Consider the following 17265-nt stretch of genomic DNA (forward strand, 5'->3'; position numbering starts at 1 on the left):
CTCCCGGGTTCAAGCCATTCTCCTGCCTCAGCCTCCTGGGTAGGTGGGATTACAGGCATACGCCACCACGCCTGGCTAATGTTTCTGTATTTTTAGTAGAGATGGGGTTTCACCTTGTTGGTCAGGCTGGTCTCGAGCTCCTGACCTCGTGATCCGCCCGCCCCGGCCTCCCAAAGTGCTGGGGTTACAGGCGTGAGCCACCGCGCCTGGCCCCAAAATATTTTTTTTTAAGACAGAAGGATCATGGTGTAATTCTGGCTTGTGGCCGAGGCATTTTTAATAGTAGAGGTGAATGTTTCAAACATCCTACTTATCTAGATTTATGTCTGGATATGCTGCTGTGGGGTTTTGTGGTTTGTTTTCTCAAACCCAGGCAGTTTGCCAAACCTCAGCAAACAGCGCAAACCTATCTTGTTACCCTGTAGTCACTTCTCATCCTTGTCAGTATGTGTGGAGCATTTCACGCAATTGTGATCATTAAACTCATACTGGTTTCTGTTCTGCGTTTTTCAGTTAACATCAAATATTCTTCCTCTGTTTTTTTCTTGTTAGTCATTTTTCTTGTGTTGGATATTTGGGTTCCCACGTTTTTCACTATAAATTATGCTGCTTTGTATTGCTTTATCATGTCTCTTATGATTGGCTGAAATTTTACTGTGTTATAGAGGAGAGAGAATGTGTAGATACAGGAAGGCTTGAATAATATAGAGCCATCTGGAGAGACACAGTAAAGATGGAGTAGGAAGTGTTTTGAGTCAGTAAGGATTGGTGCTTGTCTGTTTTTTATCTGTGATGTGGAAATAACACCTATTTTCTTGCAATTTGTGCCGATTAGTGTTTATTTTTCTTACTATAAATCTTGGTTCCTGTTATTCTTTCCATAAAAGGCTTTCTACATTTTGAGAACCCACTGTGTGTCTGGCACTTCAGTTTGCCGGTGTTGGGGATATAGCAGTAAGGAAAACAAAGCCCCTGACCTCAAGGAGCATACATTAATTTAGTGCAGAAGCCTCCACACTTGCCTGGCTGTATACTCTGTCAGTAACACATGTGAGTGTGGACTCCATAAATACAAATGTTTAGAAATTTTGTGTGAGCTATTCTCAGTCTACATATTAAATATTAGTGAAACTTAATTTTTTATTTTGTATAAAAAATACAAATACAATAAAATATATAGAGAGACCTGTAAGCATTTCTGTTGTTGACTGTTGAATCTAAAGAGCACAATAGCAACATCTGTGCTAAACCAGCTATTACATATTGAATGTCCTTTGTATATATTCTTTATTATCATAGCTCCAGGTGCTCCTTCAGCTCCAAGGAGAGGGCGTGGGGGTCATCGGGGTGGCAGGGGAAGATTTGGTATTCGGCGAGATGGGCCAATGAAATTTGAGAAAGACTTTGACTTTGAAAGTGCAAATGCACAATTCAACAAGGAAGAGATTGACAGAGAGTTTCATAATAAACTTAAATTAAAAGGTAAGCTTTGATTTTTCTTTTCAGAAAATAATCTTATTTGATCTGTGAATTACAGATGTTTCTCAGATTAGGTGTTTTTATGTAATTCAGATTAGCTGTCTTGACTTTTCTGATATGTGCTTTTGTTCTTAGAAGATAAACTTGAGAAACAGGAGAAGCCTGTAAATGGTGAAGATAAAGGAGACTCAGGAGTTGATACCCAAAACAGTGAAGGAAATGCCGATGAAGAAGATCCACTTGGACCTAATTGCTATTATGACAAAACTAAATCCTTCTTTGATAATATTTCTTGTGATGACAATAGGTACAGTTTTTAAGCTGTTCTTTTATCTTATGATATTGATTGAAGTGTAAAATGGTTTCATGTAAATTCACGAGGTTTAATGAATACTACCATAATTGTTTTGTTTTGTTTTGAGACAGTCTTACTCTGTTACTCAGGCTGGAGAGCAGCAGTGCAGTCACAGCTCACTGTAGTCTCAAGCTCCTGACCTCAAGCAATCCTCCCATCTCAGCCTCAGTAAAGGGGACTACAGTTGTACACCACCCCACCCGGCTAATTTTTTTCATTTTTTTGTAGAGATGGGGGTCTCGCTATGTTGCCCAGGCTAATCGTGAACTCCTGGCCTCAAGATCAGCCTCCCAAAGTACTAGGATTACAGGCGTGAGCCACCACACCTGGCCATAATTGATTTTTTAATGTTTTATTTGCTAAAAGAAAATATATACTAAAGTTCTAAATTATTCATTCAAAAGAAGAAATAACCATATACTTTTGTTTAAGGATATATTCATATTTGAATATTAGCAATTAAAACAAGCATTTAGGTAATGTCTAAGTAGGACCTTTTTTTCACCCCTGTATGTTACAGTTCAAATGAAGCCAGAACCGAAGTGCTAATCTACTTTGAAGTTTGCTGGTACCATAAAACTGCCAGATTGTAGTAAATGTGGGTCCAGAAAATTGGCAAATTATTGAGAGGTTAATTAAAGGACCCAGTGTGAGGAACTAACAGTTCTAGAGGTTCTCCTGCCCAATCCAAATTGTCATTGTCCTTGTCCTTTTCCTGGCTGAAGTTTGGTGCCCTCTGGTGGCAGTTGTTTGCTTCAATATAAACATGGATGGACATAATTCTGAGTCCCACGATTGGCTGGATGACAGCAGCAATAATTCAGATACTTCTTGGGTTACTTGGTATCGGGTCCATAGATTGGGCCAGGAACATAATGGGGACCTAAGGGCCCACCTTCCATCTCCTAGCTTCCCAAGACAAGGCCTCCCTGTCTGACTTTACCTTCTTTTCCCTTGGGGCTGAGTGGAAAGCGAAGTCAATTACCAATCTCATTATATCTGAATTTCCATTATTTTGGAGCTGTTACTATGTTTATCAGGTGTATTTGCAAGAAACTAATGTCAGTCATGTGTTCACATGAAGTTTAACAGAATATTACAGGAACATATTGAACTCATATGCCATGAACAACTCGTGATAACTTAGATAAGATGCTTTTTTTTTTTTTTTTTTGAGATGGAGTTTCGCTCTTGTCACCCAGACTGTAGTGCAGTGGCTCGATCTCGACTCACTGCAACCTCCACCTCCCAGGTTCAGGTGATTCTCCTGCCTCAACCCCCCAAGTAGCTGGGATTACAGGCACCTGCCACCATGCCCAGCTATTTTTTGTATTTTTGGTAGAGAATGAGTTTCACCATTTTGGCCAGGCTAGTCTCGAACTCCTGACTTCAGGCGATCCGCCCCCTCGGCCTCCCAAAGTGCTGGGATTACAGGCGTGAGCCATCACGCCTAGCCAAGATGCTTATTTCTAATTAGCTTTAGTAATTACTTAGGCTTAATTTGGGAGTAGCACTGCATATTTTGGCTGAGGGATATTCTTTTAAACCTGATATGCTGAAGATTATTTGCTTTTATAATAGAGAACGGAGACCAACCTGGGCTGAAGAAAGAAGATTAAATGCTGAAACATTTGGAATCCCACTTCGTCCAAACCGTGGCCGTGGGGGATACAGAGGCAGAGGAGGTCTTGGTTTCCGTGGTGGCAGAGGGCGTGGTGGTGGCAGAGGTGGTACCTTCACTGCCCCTCGAGGATTTCGCGGTGGATTCAGAGGAGGTCGTGGGGGCCGGGAGTTTGCGGATTTTGAATATAGGGTAAGTGTTACTGTTAATAAATTCTTTGGGGTTGACATGCATTTTACAAGACTCAAAACATTTTTACTTGTTTTTGTTTTGGGTGAATTGTTTTGAGGACATTAGAATAACTTCCATTTTGACTTTTCAGTAGAGGATATACGTGATTCAGATGTATATATAAAGACATTATACAAAAAAAGACAGTATAGTATCACCTTTATTTCATGTTAACAGAATATACTTTTAACACCCAAAGAGTCTATCTAGGAAGCACATACTCCCAGAATGGAAGGGCAAGCTTTAACATTTAATAGCAGTTAACATTTATATAGTATTTACCAAGTAACAAGACATTGTTTTAAATATTTTTTTACATATTAACTTATTTAAACTGCACATCAACTCTGTGAGGTAGGTTCTATTATTATCCCCATTTTACAAGTGAGGAAATGGGTATAGAGATATTAAGTAACTTGCGAAAGGTCACATAGCTAGTAAGTGATGGTGCTGGGTGTTGAGCCCAGCAAGTTGTTTCCTGAGTCAGTACTCTTAATTTGGTTTTGTTGAAAATTCACTACATTTTCCCTGGTTTTCTCCTTTCACCATGAAATTGAAAATGTTTCGATATATTGGCCTTCAGGAGCTACTGCTAGAGAATTCTGTAACTCTGTATAGTAGCCTTATGTGTATAATGTAGCTTTTGACAGGTGTCTGTAAATTAAGTCAGCATAGTAACTATCTCAGTTAACAGTAAACTATCTTAGTTTATTGATTTTAGAAGTAGTGGAGAGGAAGGGCTATAACAGAAAGGACCAAAATCTTGTAAAGAGTTCCACTTGTAATAGCAACAGGCAGCTGGAAACAGAAAGACCTGTTAGCAGGAGTTCCATTGCCCAGTACTTAAAACTGGCCATTGTTGAGATCTCTCTGGAAAGAGATCAGTATTAGTGGCTTTTGGACCTGCTCTATTAATTTTAATGCTTTTGATATTGTGCCATCACAGCCAAGACTGCCAAAAATTATACTCAAGTCACCAGCTTATGCCATCCAGCCGTTGGTGGCCTTATGTAGTTGCGGGACTTCTGACTTGCAAAATCACCTTCCCAGCTAGGAGAATCTGTCTTAGGAACTCCAGAATAGCCCTCGCTTATCACTGTTACTGCCCTTAAGTTTGCCAGTGACACCTTGCTTACAGAATTCAGCAGTAGTATTTTCACAAATATTTTATTTGCCATTAACTCCTCTGCAATATTTGACACTGACCAACCACCCAATTTGGGGTCTTTCTTCCTAGTCTTTAAAATACTCTTCTAGGTTTTCAATTTATACTCTTCCTAATTTTTTAATACTCTTCATTCTTTTTTTTGGGGGGTGGAGGGTGTCAGGGTCTTGCTGTGTCACCCAGACTGGAGTGCAATGGCATGATCATAAGTCACTGCAGCCTCAACCTCCCAGGCTCAGGCAGTCCTCCCACCTCAGCCTCCTATGTAGCTGGGACTACAGGCATGCACCACCATGCCCAGCTAATTTTTAATTTTTTTTGTAGACACTGGGTCCCACTCTCACTATGTTGTCCAGGCTGGTCTTGAACTCCTGGGCTTAAGCGATCCTCTCACCTCAGCTTCCCAAAGTGCTGGGTTTATAGGTGTGCCATGGTGCTTGTTCCATCCTCCCTTTTGTAAGCCTGTCCTGGACCCTATGTGTTTCTGCACCGCATCTCTATCTGCACTGTTTGCTGTCAGCTTAACCTTCCTCAGACTGATCTCATCATCTTCCTTCTCTCCTGTCATCTCAGCTCTGCCTCCTCCCAGTGTTCCATGTTGGCTCATGGTATACTGCCCAGGCACTAGAGGTATCCATGATTGTGGCCTGTTGCCATTTATTCCTTTGAGATGTCCCTGTCAACTACCATGGTAACCCACCAGTTGGGCTTCAGACCTTCGTCTCTCTTTACCCCACTTTAAGGCAGATCAGCTACATTTTGAACAACCTGTGACAACTCCTTGTTGAAGACCACATTGAGTCAGCTTGGTCTGAGAAAAAGTACATTTAAATTAGACTTGGATCCAGATGAGAATAATAGCAGTAGTTACTAGTATGACCTTTCAGACCCTTGGTTTTGACATTTGTGAATAAAGAGTTGCACCATTTATTCTGAAATAACACCTTTTAAAGATCATTAAACTTTCAGAGTTGGAAAACATCTGAGAGGTCTGACCTGGTTAAAACATAAACCTCTTCTGCAGTATCTCTTATAGGGGCTGGGAGCTTACTCTTCCCAAGGGCATCCATCCCACCCCAGGGATGTTCTAACTGTTACAATCTCAGCTGGGCGTGGTGGCTCACACCTATAATCCCAGCACTTTGGGAGGCTGAGGTGGGCGGATCACCTGAGGTCAGGAGTTCGAGACCAGCCTGGCTAACATGGTGAAACCCCGTCTCTACCAAAAACATAAAAAAAATTAGCCGGGCGTGGTGGCACACACCTGTAATCCCAGCTACTCGGGAGGCTGAGGCAGGAGAATCATTGAACCTGGGAGGCAGAGGTTGCAGTGAGCCGAGATCACGCCACTGTACTCCAGCCTGGGCGACAGAGCAAGACTCCGTCTCAAAAAAAGGAAAAAACAAACCTTCCATGCAGTAACTGTGTGTGCTCCATGTGGTTACTAATACAAACATTTTTTTGACACCATGTCACACTGTTTATCATTTTGAGCCTTTTGTAAAACTCGTATCACATATATTGCAGAATTGAAAATGCATTGTCATAGTTACCTCCATGCATCTTTGTCTACGCTCCTGTATCCTTGACAGATAGTCCAGCCTCTGCTTAGGTGTTGCCAGGAGTGATGGACTCAGCGAACCCTCAGGCATGGCCCAGTGTTTAGGAGGCTCAGTTGTGACATTGTAGTCCCTGCTCTTCTTAATTGTGTGAGGATCCCACTTGATATATTTGGCCTCATTCCTCATTACCCTTTAACCTATCTGATTCAAGCAAGCTGCCTCATGGTTATCTCACATACACATTGTGCTTGATTCCAACTCCATCCCCATTCATTTACCAAATATACAGAATTCTTCAGATATGCCAGGCACTATGTTGAGCATTGGTGCTGACCGATGTAGGCCCAGCCCTTTTGATGTTTACATTTTGGTGGGAGACAGACATAGCTAAAAGTCAGGTCCCCCCTTTCACTTATCCTTTACAGCCTTGCCCAAGTTTTGCTCTGTCTTCTCTTCCTTCCTACACTGATTTCCTCCTCTTCTGACCTGTGGCTATCTGCTTTCTTTGGCACACATTTTAAATACACTGACATTCCCTATTTTTTGTATTTAGTTTTGTTCTGCATCACCAGCTAGATGAGAACCTCTTGGCTTTAGTGAATATGTATTCTACTTTTCTTTCCATGACAACACTCAGCTCAACATGGAGCCATAGTGGGCTTGAAGTAATTGCTTGTCATGTTGATTAGGAATTTGCCACTCCAGCCTTCAGTGAGACCAAAGGTCTGTCAATGTAGCTAGCCTTTGATTGTTCATTCCAGAGTTGAATAATCCTTTCATCTGCCACTAGAGCCCCGAACCCAGCAGCCCTACACCTCCTAAATCATAAAATCATTTCACCTGGCACCTTTAAAGGTAGAAAATGGTGAGTGATCACTGTCACATAAAGGAGATTTACCACTGAAGATTAAACTTGTATCTGAAACATCTAACACTTCCTCCCAGAGATGGACATGGATGACATTTCTGCAGCCTTCATGAAATGAGTTGGCTTTATTTTTTGTGCTATATTAGCATGAGTCATTGTGGTTTGGGGGTAAGCATAAATGAGCTTGGTTGTTTAATGAAAACATGGGTAAAGATAAAATCATAAAGTTTTAGAATCCTTAAAAGAATCAGCCAAACTAGAATCTCTACGCTACCACACTCACATTAGATGATAAGGAAACTAAGGACCCCAAGAAGTTAATTGTCATGATTGAGGTACAAGCTAACAAATCCAAAACTCACTCTCTTGACTTGTGGCCTGATTTTCCTTAAGGGTAATATTGTAAATATAGGCCAGTGCAATGGTGTACACATGTAATACCAGCATTTTGGGAGGCCAGGGCAGGATTGCTTAAGCCCAGGAATTCAAGGACAGCATGGGCAACATAAGGAGTCCCTATCTCTATAAAAAAGTTTAAAAATTAGCTGGAGTGGTGGCACATGCCTGTAGTCCCAGCTACTCAGGAGGCTAAGGCAGGAGGATCAGTTGAACCTGGGAGGTCAAGGCTGCAGTGAGCCATGATCGCACCACTGCACTCCAGCCTGGGTGACAGAGCGAGGCCTGTCTCAAAAAAAAAAAAGAAAAGAAAGAAATATAACCTTATGGTAAGTTTGGTTGTATGGTGTTTTCCCCCTCCCACCGCCCATTCTTTTTTGAGGTGAGAATGGAAATCAGGACTAGCAATAATAATGTAACCAGCTCCTGTTTTATATGCTGCTGTCAGGGAGGTTAAGCCACCATGGTGGGTGATAAAAATCACATCTGTGTTTCCTCAGATGGGGTTCAAAGACAACAAGGTGTCTGAATGACTCAGCATAATGCTCTCTCTCCTCTCCCCCTTTCATTTTCTCCTTTCTCCCTCTCCTGTCCCCATCTCTTTCTCTTTTTTTTTTTTTTTTTTTTTTTACCTTTCAGAAAACCACAGCTTTTGGACCCTAAAAGGTCTGGATTGATCGTACTGCTTTCTGAAAGGTAAAAAAAACAAATACTTTGGGAGGTGTGAAGGTTGGCTTTGTGGGGGACAGCAGGTTCATCTTGTAGCTCATTGCTGTCAACTTATGCCATACCATATGTATTTCAGTTTAATAACGGGGTGCAAATGTTTTGGTGTTGTATACACAGATGAAGTTAAGTCTCACCTAGGAAATGTCTGTTTCTAACAGTTGGGGTGAGAATCAGCAGTAAAAACCAGGTATATGGTAGCAGCTGGTCTAGAGGAAAATAAAAGCCCTTGGCTCCAGCCCTTTGTACAGGCCTTTAGTTTAGGGTCAGTCTCTCTGGAAATCTTGAGATTTTTATTGCTTCCTCACTGGTTACTTTTTAAAAATTCCCCAGTCAGCTTTCTACTTTTCAGAGCTTATTTCAGATTTAAGAGTTATCCTTGTAAAATTGATTTTTAAACCATTGCTTCCTCCTGGCATGAAATTTTGGAGAGAAATGTTATACTGACTGGGTATTTTATTGCTTAGTAAAGACATCAAAGACTTGGGGATTTTATGAAACTTGTTTCAAAGTATGTTGACAGTTGTATTTGATGAGTTTGACTATTGAGTTGAGGGTTTAAGTCCTATCACTGCTTTTAAAAAATTATTAGGGAGAACAACCAAAGATGAGGAAGTATGCCTGTATTTTGGGGTGGGGTTCACCACTGCATTAACCTCTACTGACTGGAAGATGCAGTCAACAATGAGGTACTACTGAGTATGGAAGTTATAGAAGGAGTTTCGTGGAAATGAGTGAGACAGGTTTTTCTATGAAAGTAAAAGTGGGGGAGTATATTTAAAGATAATTTAAAATAAACTTGAGCAAAGTAAAAAGAAAATAATACACCAATAATTTGGAACATGAGCTAAATTTTTTTTTCTTTTTTAGAAAGACAACAAAGTTGCTGCATAGTCTACAAACAAGTCTCTGAAAATAGGTGAATTTCTAGCTCTTCATGGTCCTGAACATTGATTTCAGTCTTTGCAAAGAATGAAGAAGTGAATTCGCTGTACATTTGTCACCAGCACTGGGTTTTTGTTTTTTGTTTGTTTTTCCGCTTAATTTCAAAGATAAAATGCAGTTACTTTTGGGGGTGGAAGGCTCATCTTAAAACATGAGCATTAAATATATTTGGAATAGCAGAAGGTTAAGTAATTTCTTATGTATAGTTAAACTAAAGCAGTACTTCAGTGGGACTTAACAAGTATTTTTTCATCACTGAAAGGTTTTTTTTTTTTATCACTAAATTGTATTTGGCAATTGCAAGTTGCCTGCAGATAGGGCCGTGATACTGTGTTTTGAGCCACAGAAGGTTGTGTGTGTGTGTGTGTGTGTGTGTGTGTGTGTGTGTGTATGTGTGTGTCTTTTTCCTCCTTTCTTTTGGGGAATCCTGTAATATGAGGTAGCTTATTTCGTCAATTAATTAGGGTGCTGGATGGTAGAGAATTTTGTCAGTCAACTATGTACACACAGTAAATACTGTTTCTTAGGCAAAGGTAACTTTTTTATATAGTTGTAAAATTCCATTATATTCCATTGCCAAAGAAACATTAAGAACTTTGTATAGCTGTATAAAAAGCAACTAATTTTTTAAAGAATAAACATTTTAAAGTCAGCAAACATACTGTGTCCTTGCAGAAGTTGATGTGCTGAGCAGCAGCCTTATGGGTGGGTCTTTTTTTCTTAGTTTTCCAGGCTTAACATTTTTGATTTTGTTTTTTAATGTTTGGAACATAAATGAAGATTTGATACATTATTTCATTATCTAAAAAGGATTAATTATTCATGCTCATTGTAAGAACTTCATTTTGTAGCAAATGGCATATCACAGGATCTGTCCAGATAATCGATATTTTCAGTATACAAATGTAAATAATCACAGATGAGAATGTACTTAGCTGTATTTTCAAATAAGTAATCTTCCCCCCTTTTGTAGGACTTTAAAACTAGGCATCAATGAACCTGTTTTTCCTATTATGCCTGGAATTTAGTCATGATACCTTGACTCATTCCATCATATTTCAAGAGGATTCAGAGTGCTAGAAATTATTTTGGTAGCCTGTAACACACGGCAACACTGGTCCTTGGGCCTATGATGACCCACAGATGACTCAGTATAGAGTTCATTGCTAATTATAAATTACTAGTGAATCTTTTTGATATTTTAAGCTCTAGTGGGAAAAATCTGGCCACTTTTGTGTTTTTATGAAGGCCATGGAATAAAAGGATCCAAAGATTTAAATATTTTTATCTAATATTTTGATTGTTTTCTTAACTTTCTCCTTAAAACATTCAGTAGTGATAAAGATATAGAAACTGCACTGTAGGAGAATTGGAATATTTAAGGCTGGTTGACATTTTTTATTTTCATTTTATATCTTTTGTATAGCTCTACAAGGCAGTGTTTTGTAATTTGGTTTCATTATGAAGATCCAGTACTTGGCAGCCATAGTTTAGACAATATTGTTCAGTGCTGTTTGCTTGCATGTTAACAACAAAACCTTTTAGAGGACCCACAAATCATGATATTGAACACAGTTCCGAGGCATTCAGAGCATCAGAGCAAGTACCATGGCAATACATGTGTAGACTGTTGGAGATGTCCCGGGCCAATTTCAAGAAAGAAAACTGTAAATACTAGTTCTACTTGCTCTGAAATTATGAGTTTATGCGTTTTCCCAGCCCTCCGAATCACTGACTGGGGCGTTTTGTGCCCCAGCAATAACTGGCAGCATGGCATACCTGCAGTACCCCTTACAATATTAAAGCAAAGTTTTTATTCTAAAACAGAATAAAACTGTTCAATAAAAAATGCTCGTCAAAGTTCTTTCTCTTTAAATAGTAACATTCTGTTTCAGTAGGAACATAATGAAAGGAATCTTTTAAATGGAAGAGCGGAATTATAATGTTTGTATTCCCTGTAATAACTATAAATCAGTTACTTTATTTCTAAGATTGAGTTATTGTTGCAGATGTTTAGGGAAAGCTAAAAGCCCCTTCCTTCCCCTCCTGTGTGTAAATAAAATACTTCTGAGATCAGATCCGTGACATGAGGAGATTGAGCCACCCAGGCACAGGCCAGGCTGGAAACAGCAGCCAGAACACACTCCCTGTGGGCAGACGCATGAAGAAGATGCAGAATCTGTCTATTAAAACAGTTCGCTCCAAAAGCTGGGCTTCATGTGATGGTAGGGCAAGAGGTCGGGAACAGCAGTGCAGCACAGTGGCTCTCGGTGGGGTTACCTGACATCCTAGGAACACAGTCATCTGTTGCTTAATAATAGCGACATGTTCTTATTTTTAAATAGCAATGAGGTCTCACTTCGTTGCCCAGGCTGGTCTCTAACTCCTGGGCTCAAATGATCCTCCCATCTTGGCCTCCCAAAGTGCTAGATTACAGACATGAGCCACCAGGCCCGGCCATGACACATTCTGAGAAATGTGTTAAGCAATGTCATCATTGTGTGAACATCAGAGAGTGTACTACACAAATGAAGATGGTATGGCCTACTCCACACCTAAGCTATATGGTGTAGCCTGTTGCTCCTCGCTACAAACCTGTACAGCATGTTACTGTACTGAATACTGTAGGCAGTCATAACACAGTGGTATTTCTGTATTTAAAACATATCTAAACAGAAAAAGTATAGTAAAAATACGGTATCATAATCTTTGGGACCACCATTGTATACCCAGTCCATCGTTGACCAAAACATCATTAAGTGGTGCGTGAGTACTGAGGAATGTGAGGGGATGTGTTTTGGTTGTCACAATCACTGGGGATCACCACTGGTATTTAAAAGTAAGGGCCCGGATGGTAAATGTCCTGTGCTGTGCCACACAATCAGTTGTCCAACCCAAAGTGCAGTAGTGCTCCTCTACTCTGAGAAACACTGGCTAAAGTCCCTCCACATGGAAAGACAGTAAGTGGGAAATTATTTCCTGCCAACTTGAAAAAAAAAATTTACTACTTAGGAAATTGTCCGCTTGGGAATATTAATAATAAAGGGAACTTACTTCCTGTAGCACATCAGCATTGTGGAAACATTACCACATAGGAGTTAGGGCTTCATCCTGTTCTCTGTCAGTGCTTCACAAATCTCTGATCAGAATCTACCAAGGAGCATTTTTAAGTACAGATTCCCAGGCCCAGAGAGTGATTCTGAAGTTCCCTAGTACAGCAGAACCCAACCTTTTTGGCACCAGGGACTGGTTTCACCAAAGACAGTTTTTCCACAGATGAGCAGGGGGTATGGTTTTGGGGTGATTCAAGTATATTTATTGTGCACTTTATTTCTATTATTACATTGTAATATATAATGAAATAATTACACAATTCACCATCATGTAGAATCAATGGGAGGCCTGAGCTTGTTTTCCTGCAACTAGATGGTCCCATCTGGGGGTGATGGGAGACAGTGACAGATCATCGGGCATGATCAGTGAGTGCGCAACCGAGGTCCCTTGCATGCAGAGCTCACGATAGGGTTTCCAACCCTATGAGAATCTAATGCTGCTGCTGATGTGACAGGAGGTGGAGCTCGGATGGTAATGCTCACTCATCAGCCCGCCTCTCACCCGCTGTGCAGGCTGGTTCCTAACAGACCACGGACCACGACCGTTCTGCTGCCCAGGGATCAGGGACCCCTTCTCTAGTAGGTCCTAGGAATCTTACTGATCCCACAGGTAGTTGTGATTAGCTAGGTTTGGGAAGATGACTGTACAACACCAAAGCTGGTTCCTGCTTTGGGGGTGTTGATATATTTTCCACAGTAGGATTATCTTAGCATTTTTCCCATCCTTCCAAACCCAGTATATCCAGATTGTGACTGGGGCATGAAGAGAGGGATGGGACTAAGTGGAAAGGAGGGAACAGTTTTGCAGGATGGAATCAGGGGAAATGGGGAGGTTGAGACTCGAGTTTCCTCCAGAGTTTGGGTGCTTTGAGTACTGAGTTTTATTTCGTTTTTATTCCTGGCATAGGGTTTGTGTTCCTTCTGTCTCTTAATTTTGCATGCCAGTTGTCCCTGCCTCTGTGGGTTCTCTGCCCATCAGAGAAGCCGCTCCTTCTGCAGGGCCCCTCTGTCCACAGCATGGCTGAGAAGCAACTTCTTTTCCTGAGAAGGGTTACTTAGGCCATCCAATCACATCTGGATTCAGTGTGTTGCAGGATCCCCCTGCCCTGTTAGTTCAGAGATTAAGCTGTTTTACATAGTAAAGGTGGGGAGAGTGTCATGGTATAAAGTAATCCAGGTGAATGGTCTCTTCCTGTAGGAGTGCAGGTGTCACCAATTTGCTTTAGTTTACCTGTCCCGACTGGTTTTGGGGTTTTTTTGAGACGGAGTCTCACTCTATCACCCAAGCTGGAGTGCAGTGGCGCGATCTTAGCTCACTGCAACCTCTGCCTCCCAGGTTCAAGTGATTCTCTCCCCTCAGCCCCCCGAGTAGCTGGGATTGCAGGCGTGTGCCCCCACACCCAGCTAATTTTTGTATTTTTAGTAGAGATGGGATTTCACCATGTTGGCCAGGCTGGTCTCGAACTCCTCACCTCAGGTGATCCACCTGCCTCGGCCTCCTGAAGTGCTGGGATTGCAGGTGTGAGCCACTGTGCCTGGCCTGTTCTGACTCTGTTTAAAAGATAACAAGTATTAGGCTGGGTGCGGTGACTCACGCCTGTAATCCCAGCACTTTGGGAGGCTGAGGCGGGTGGATCACGAGGTCAAGAGATCGAGACCATCCTGACCAACATGGTGAAACCCCGTCTCTACTAAAAATACAAAAAATTAGCCTGGTGTGGTGGCGGGCACCTGTAATCCCAGCTACTTGGGAGGCTGAGGCAGGAGAATTGCTTGAACCTGGGAGGCGGAGGTTGCAGTGAGCTGAGATTGTGCCACTGCACTCCAGCCTGGGCAAAAAGAGCGAAGCTCCATCTCAAAAAAAAAAAAAAAAAAACCACGTATTATTAGTAAAATTGAAATCAAACTTAGGGAAGTATCATAGTACCATTAATCTGTCAATCTGAAGATGCTAAAAGGAGATTTGCTTAGCAGGCTGCCTTGGCTTCTCCAAGATGGGGAGACAGACAACTTCTTGGAAGCAGTGTCCTCCAAACAGAAATTGGTCAAGGAAGGGAAGTGGGAGAGAGAGCTTTGACTAGCAGAGGCTTGGAAGCCAGCCAGCCAGCAGCCAACAGTGCATGTGTGCATTGGGAAGCTAGTGGTCCAGGGACCAGGCACTGCTCCTGTGGGATCCATCCCAGCCCTCTAAGGAGCGGTGCAAAGGTTCTTATCCTATTTATCGGAGCCAGTGTCCAGAAAAGGAAGCTTGTGGTTTGAGACATTCTGTAAATCCGGTTCCAAGAGCACGAGGTAGGACTCTGAATCCGATGTGGTTTCTGTTCTCGGTGATGGTGCAGAGCTGTGAGCCAGTGGTAGGGTGTCCTTTAAATTCCAGCTCAGTACACTAGTTAATGAACTTGGCTGACTGATAAAAATGTTTTCAGGTTTAGCTCATGAACATATCAACATAGACCTAAATATAATTCCAGTTTGTCATGAATGTTGATTTTTTGAGGAAATGCTTTAAAATGTACTGATGCCCATGTTGTGGTTGTAAGGAAACAAAGCAGCTCTGTGAGGCCAAAGCATATTTCAGTTCAATAGTGAGGCTTTCTTAGAAAGAATGACTCATAGTCACTCAGAGTTGAGTCGCACAGAAACAACCGAGAGCAGACAGCAAGGAACGGCAGGGCCCAGAAGGTCCAGCCTTTCCCTCCAGGCTGAAGGGTTAGGGAAGATCGCCAACCTTAAAGGGGGTGTGAGAGGCCTGGGCCCAGGTGAGATTGTACTGAATTCCAGTAAACAGTGTACAGTCATTCCAGGACAGAGGACAGGAACATGTTTACTAGGTGTCTGGAGTGCACCTCTATAATCCTCATACACACTAATCCAGATAATCCTGGGATGCTGGCCTCACGCAGGATTGTTGATGAGAATGCAAATCCCAACATTGCAATTCAGGATTTTGCTTCTACTGAAAGCATTTTGTCAATGTTCTCTTTTGGGGTTAGCTGGGTGACAGTTCTCCCTTGCTGGATTCCCAGTACTTAATAGCGTTTCTTTGACTCAGTGGATATGTGGAACATTGCAGACTGCAATTTATAACACAGAACTGGGTATATATTTTCATTATAAAAGTAATACATGTAAAAAGAATGCAGGCCTCTTCTCTGATTGGGTGGTATTTTTAAAAAGAAACAAAGAATGCAGGCAGTGTAGATTATGTTTGTTTTTTAAAGGAAAGAGAAGAAAAAATTCTCTAATCCCACCACCCACAGCTGACCATGTTGACACTATTTGGGTGTATATTCTGTCTGGCATTATCCTGTACAGGCATATGCTCTTCAGCAAAAATGGATTTGGCCGGGCGCAGTGGCTCAGCCTGTAATCCCAGCACTTTGGGAAGCTGAGGCAGGCAGATCACTTGAGGTCAGGAGTTCCAGACCAGCCTGGCCAACTTGATGAAACCCCATCTCTGCTAAATGCAAAAATTATTAGCTAGGCATGGTGGCGGGTTCCTGTAATCCCAGCTACTTGGGAGGCTGAGGCAGGAGAATTTCTTGAACCCAGGAGGCAGAGGTTGCAGTGAGCCAAGATCGCGCCATTGCACTTCAGCCTGGGTGACAAGAGCAAAACTCCATCTCAAAAAGAAAAAAAGAAAAGTAGATGGGCACAGTGGCTCATGCCTGTAATCCCAGCACTTTGGGAGGCCAAAGCAGGAGGATTGCTTGAGCCCAGGAGGTTGAAGTTGCAGTAAGCCATGACCACACCACTGCACTACAGCCTGGGTGACAGAGTCTAAAAAAAAAAAAAAAAAAAAAAAAAATCCACATTTCTAAATGGGAAAATCTGAAGGCCTTGATCTGCTGCCAAGGGTCATTGGCTGTGTCTTTTGAAACATTTTTATTATGAAAGTGTCATGTGGTTATAGGATATGAGCTGCTTCAGCCCGGCACGGTGGCTCACACCTGTAATCCCAGCACTTTTGGAGGCTGAGGAGGGCGGATCACCTGAGGTCGGGAGTTCGAGACCAGCCTGACCAACATGGAGAAACTCCATCTCTACTAATCATACAAAATTAGCTGGGTGTGGTGGTGCATGCCTGTTATCCCAGCTACTCAGGAGGCTGAGGCAGGAGAATCACTTGAACCTGAGAGGTGGAGGTTGCGGTGAGCCGAGGTCACTCCATTGCACTCCAGCCTGGGCAACAAGAGTGAAACTCCATCTCAAAAAAAAAAAAAAAAGAAATGAGCTGCTTCAAACAGGTCCTCACTAAAGACCAATGACTGGCATTGCCTGAGCAACATAGGGAGACCTTGTTTCTACAAGTTATTTATTTATTTATTTATTTATTTATTTATTTATTTATTTATTTATTTGGAGCCAGAGTCTCGCTCTGTCGCCCAGGCTGGAGTGCAGTGGCACGATCTCGGCTCACTGCAAGCTCTGCCTCCCAGGTTCACGCCATTCTCCTGCCTCAGCCTCCCGGCAGCTGGGACTACAGGTGCCCGCCACCACGCCCGGCTAATTTTTTTTATTTTTAGTGGAGACGGGGCTTCGCAGTGTTAGCCAGGATGGTCTCGATCTCCTGACCTCATGATCCGCCCGCCTCGGCCTCCCAAAGTGCTGGGATTACAGGCGTGAGCCACCGCACCCGGCCTATCCAAGTAATTTTTTAAAAATTAGCTGGGCGTGGTGGCGCGTGCCTGTAGTCCCAACTACTTGGGAGGCTGAAGCGGGAGGATCACTTGAGCCCAGGAGGTTGAGGTTGCAGTAAGCCATGACCACACCACTGCACTCCAACCTGGGCAACAGAGCAAGA

General features: G+C 42.3%; 1 protein-coding gene across 30 annotated transcripts in view, besides 1 other annotated feature; it reads left to right on the plus strand.

Annotated features, from left to right (window-relative positions):
* The window catches only part of LSM14A (LSM14A mRNA processing body assembly factor), a 56785-nt gene extending 45588 nt beyond the window's left edge, over positions 1–11197 (plus strand). For 8 of the 30 annotated variants that reach the window (NR_169261.1, NR_169264.1, NR_169263.1 and 5 more), the window contains 5 exons: positions 1300–1482; positions 1615–1786; positions 3416–3647; positions 8317–8373; positions 9274–11197. Coding sequence is in view for 24 of the 30 variants with exons in the window: in NM_001384431.1 (NP_001371360.1) it covers positions 1300–1482; positions 1615–1786; positions 3416–3647; positions 8317–8340 (611 nt within the window). In the remaining 6 variants the exon portion in view is untranslated. Of the gene's footprint in view, positions 1–1299; positions 1483–1614; positions 1787–3395; positions 8374–9273 lie in introns of those variants that run through there. The other 22 variants (NR_169265.1, NM_001384434.1, NM_001384433.1 and 19 more) reach the window with 9 other exon arrangements.
* Positions 6683–7248: an enhancer, noted in NCBI's record as "OCT4-NANOG-H3K27ac hESC enhancer chr19:34715679-34716244 (GRCh37/hg19 assembly coordinates)". NCBI's record gives its function as "activates a minimal SCP1, AML or CMV promoter by ChIP-STARR-seq in naive H9 embryonic stem cells {active_cell/tissue: H9 hESC(naive)}" and the evidence as "EXISTENCE:reporter gene assay evidence [ECO:0000049][PMID:30033119]".
* Positions 11198–17265: the final 6068 nt, after the last annotated feature.

This window comes from Homo sapiens, chromosome 19, assembly GCF_000001405.40.
Source record: "Homo sapiens chromosome 19, GRCh38.p14 Primary Assembly".
Taxonomy (NCBI): Eukaryota; Metazoa; Chordata; class Mammalia; order Primates; family Hominidae; genus Homo; species Homo sapiens.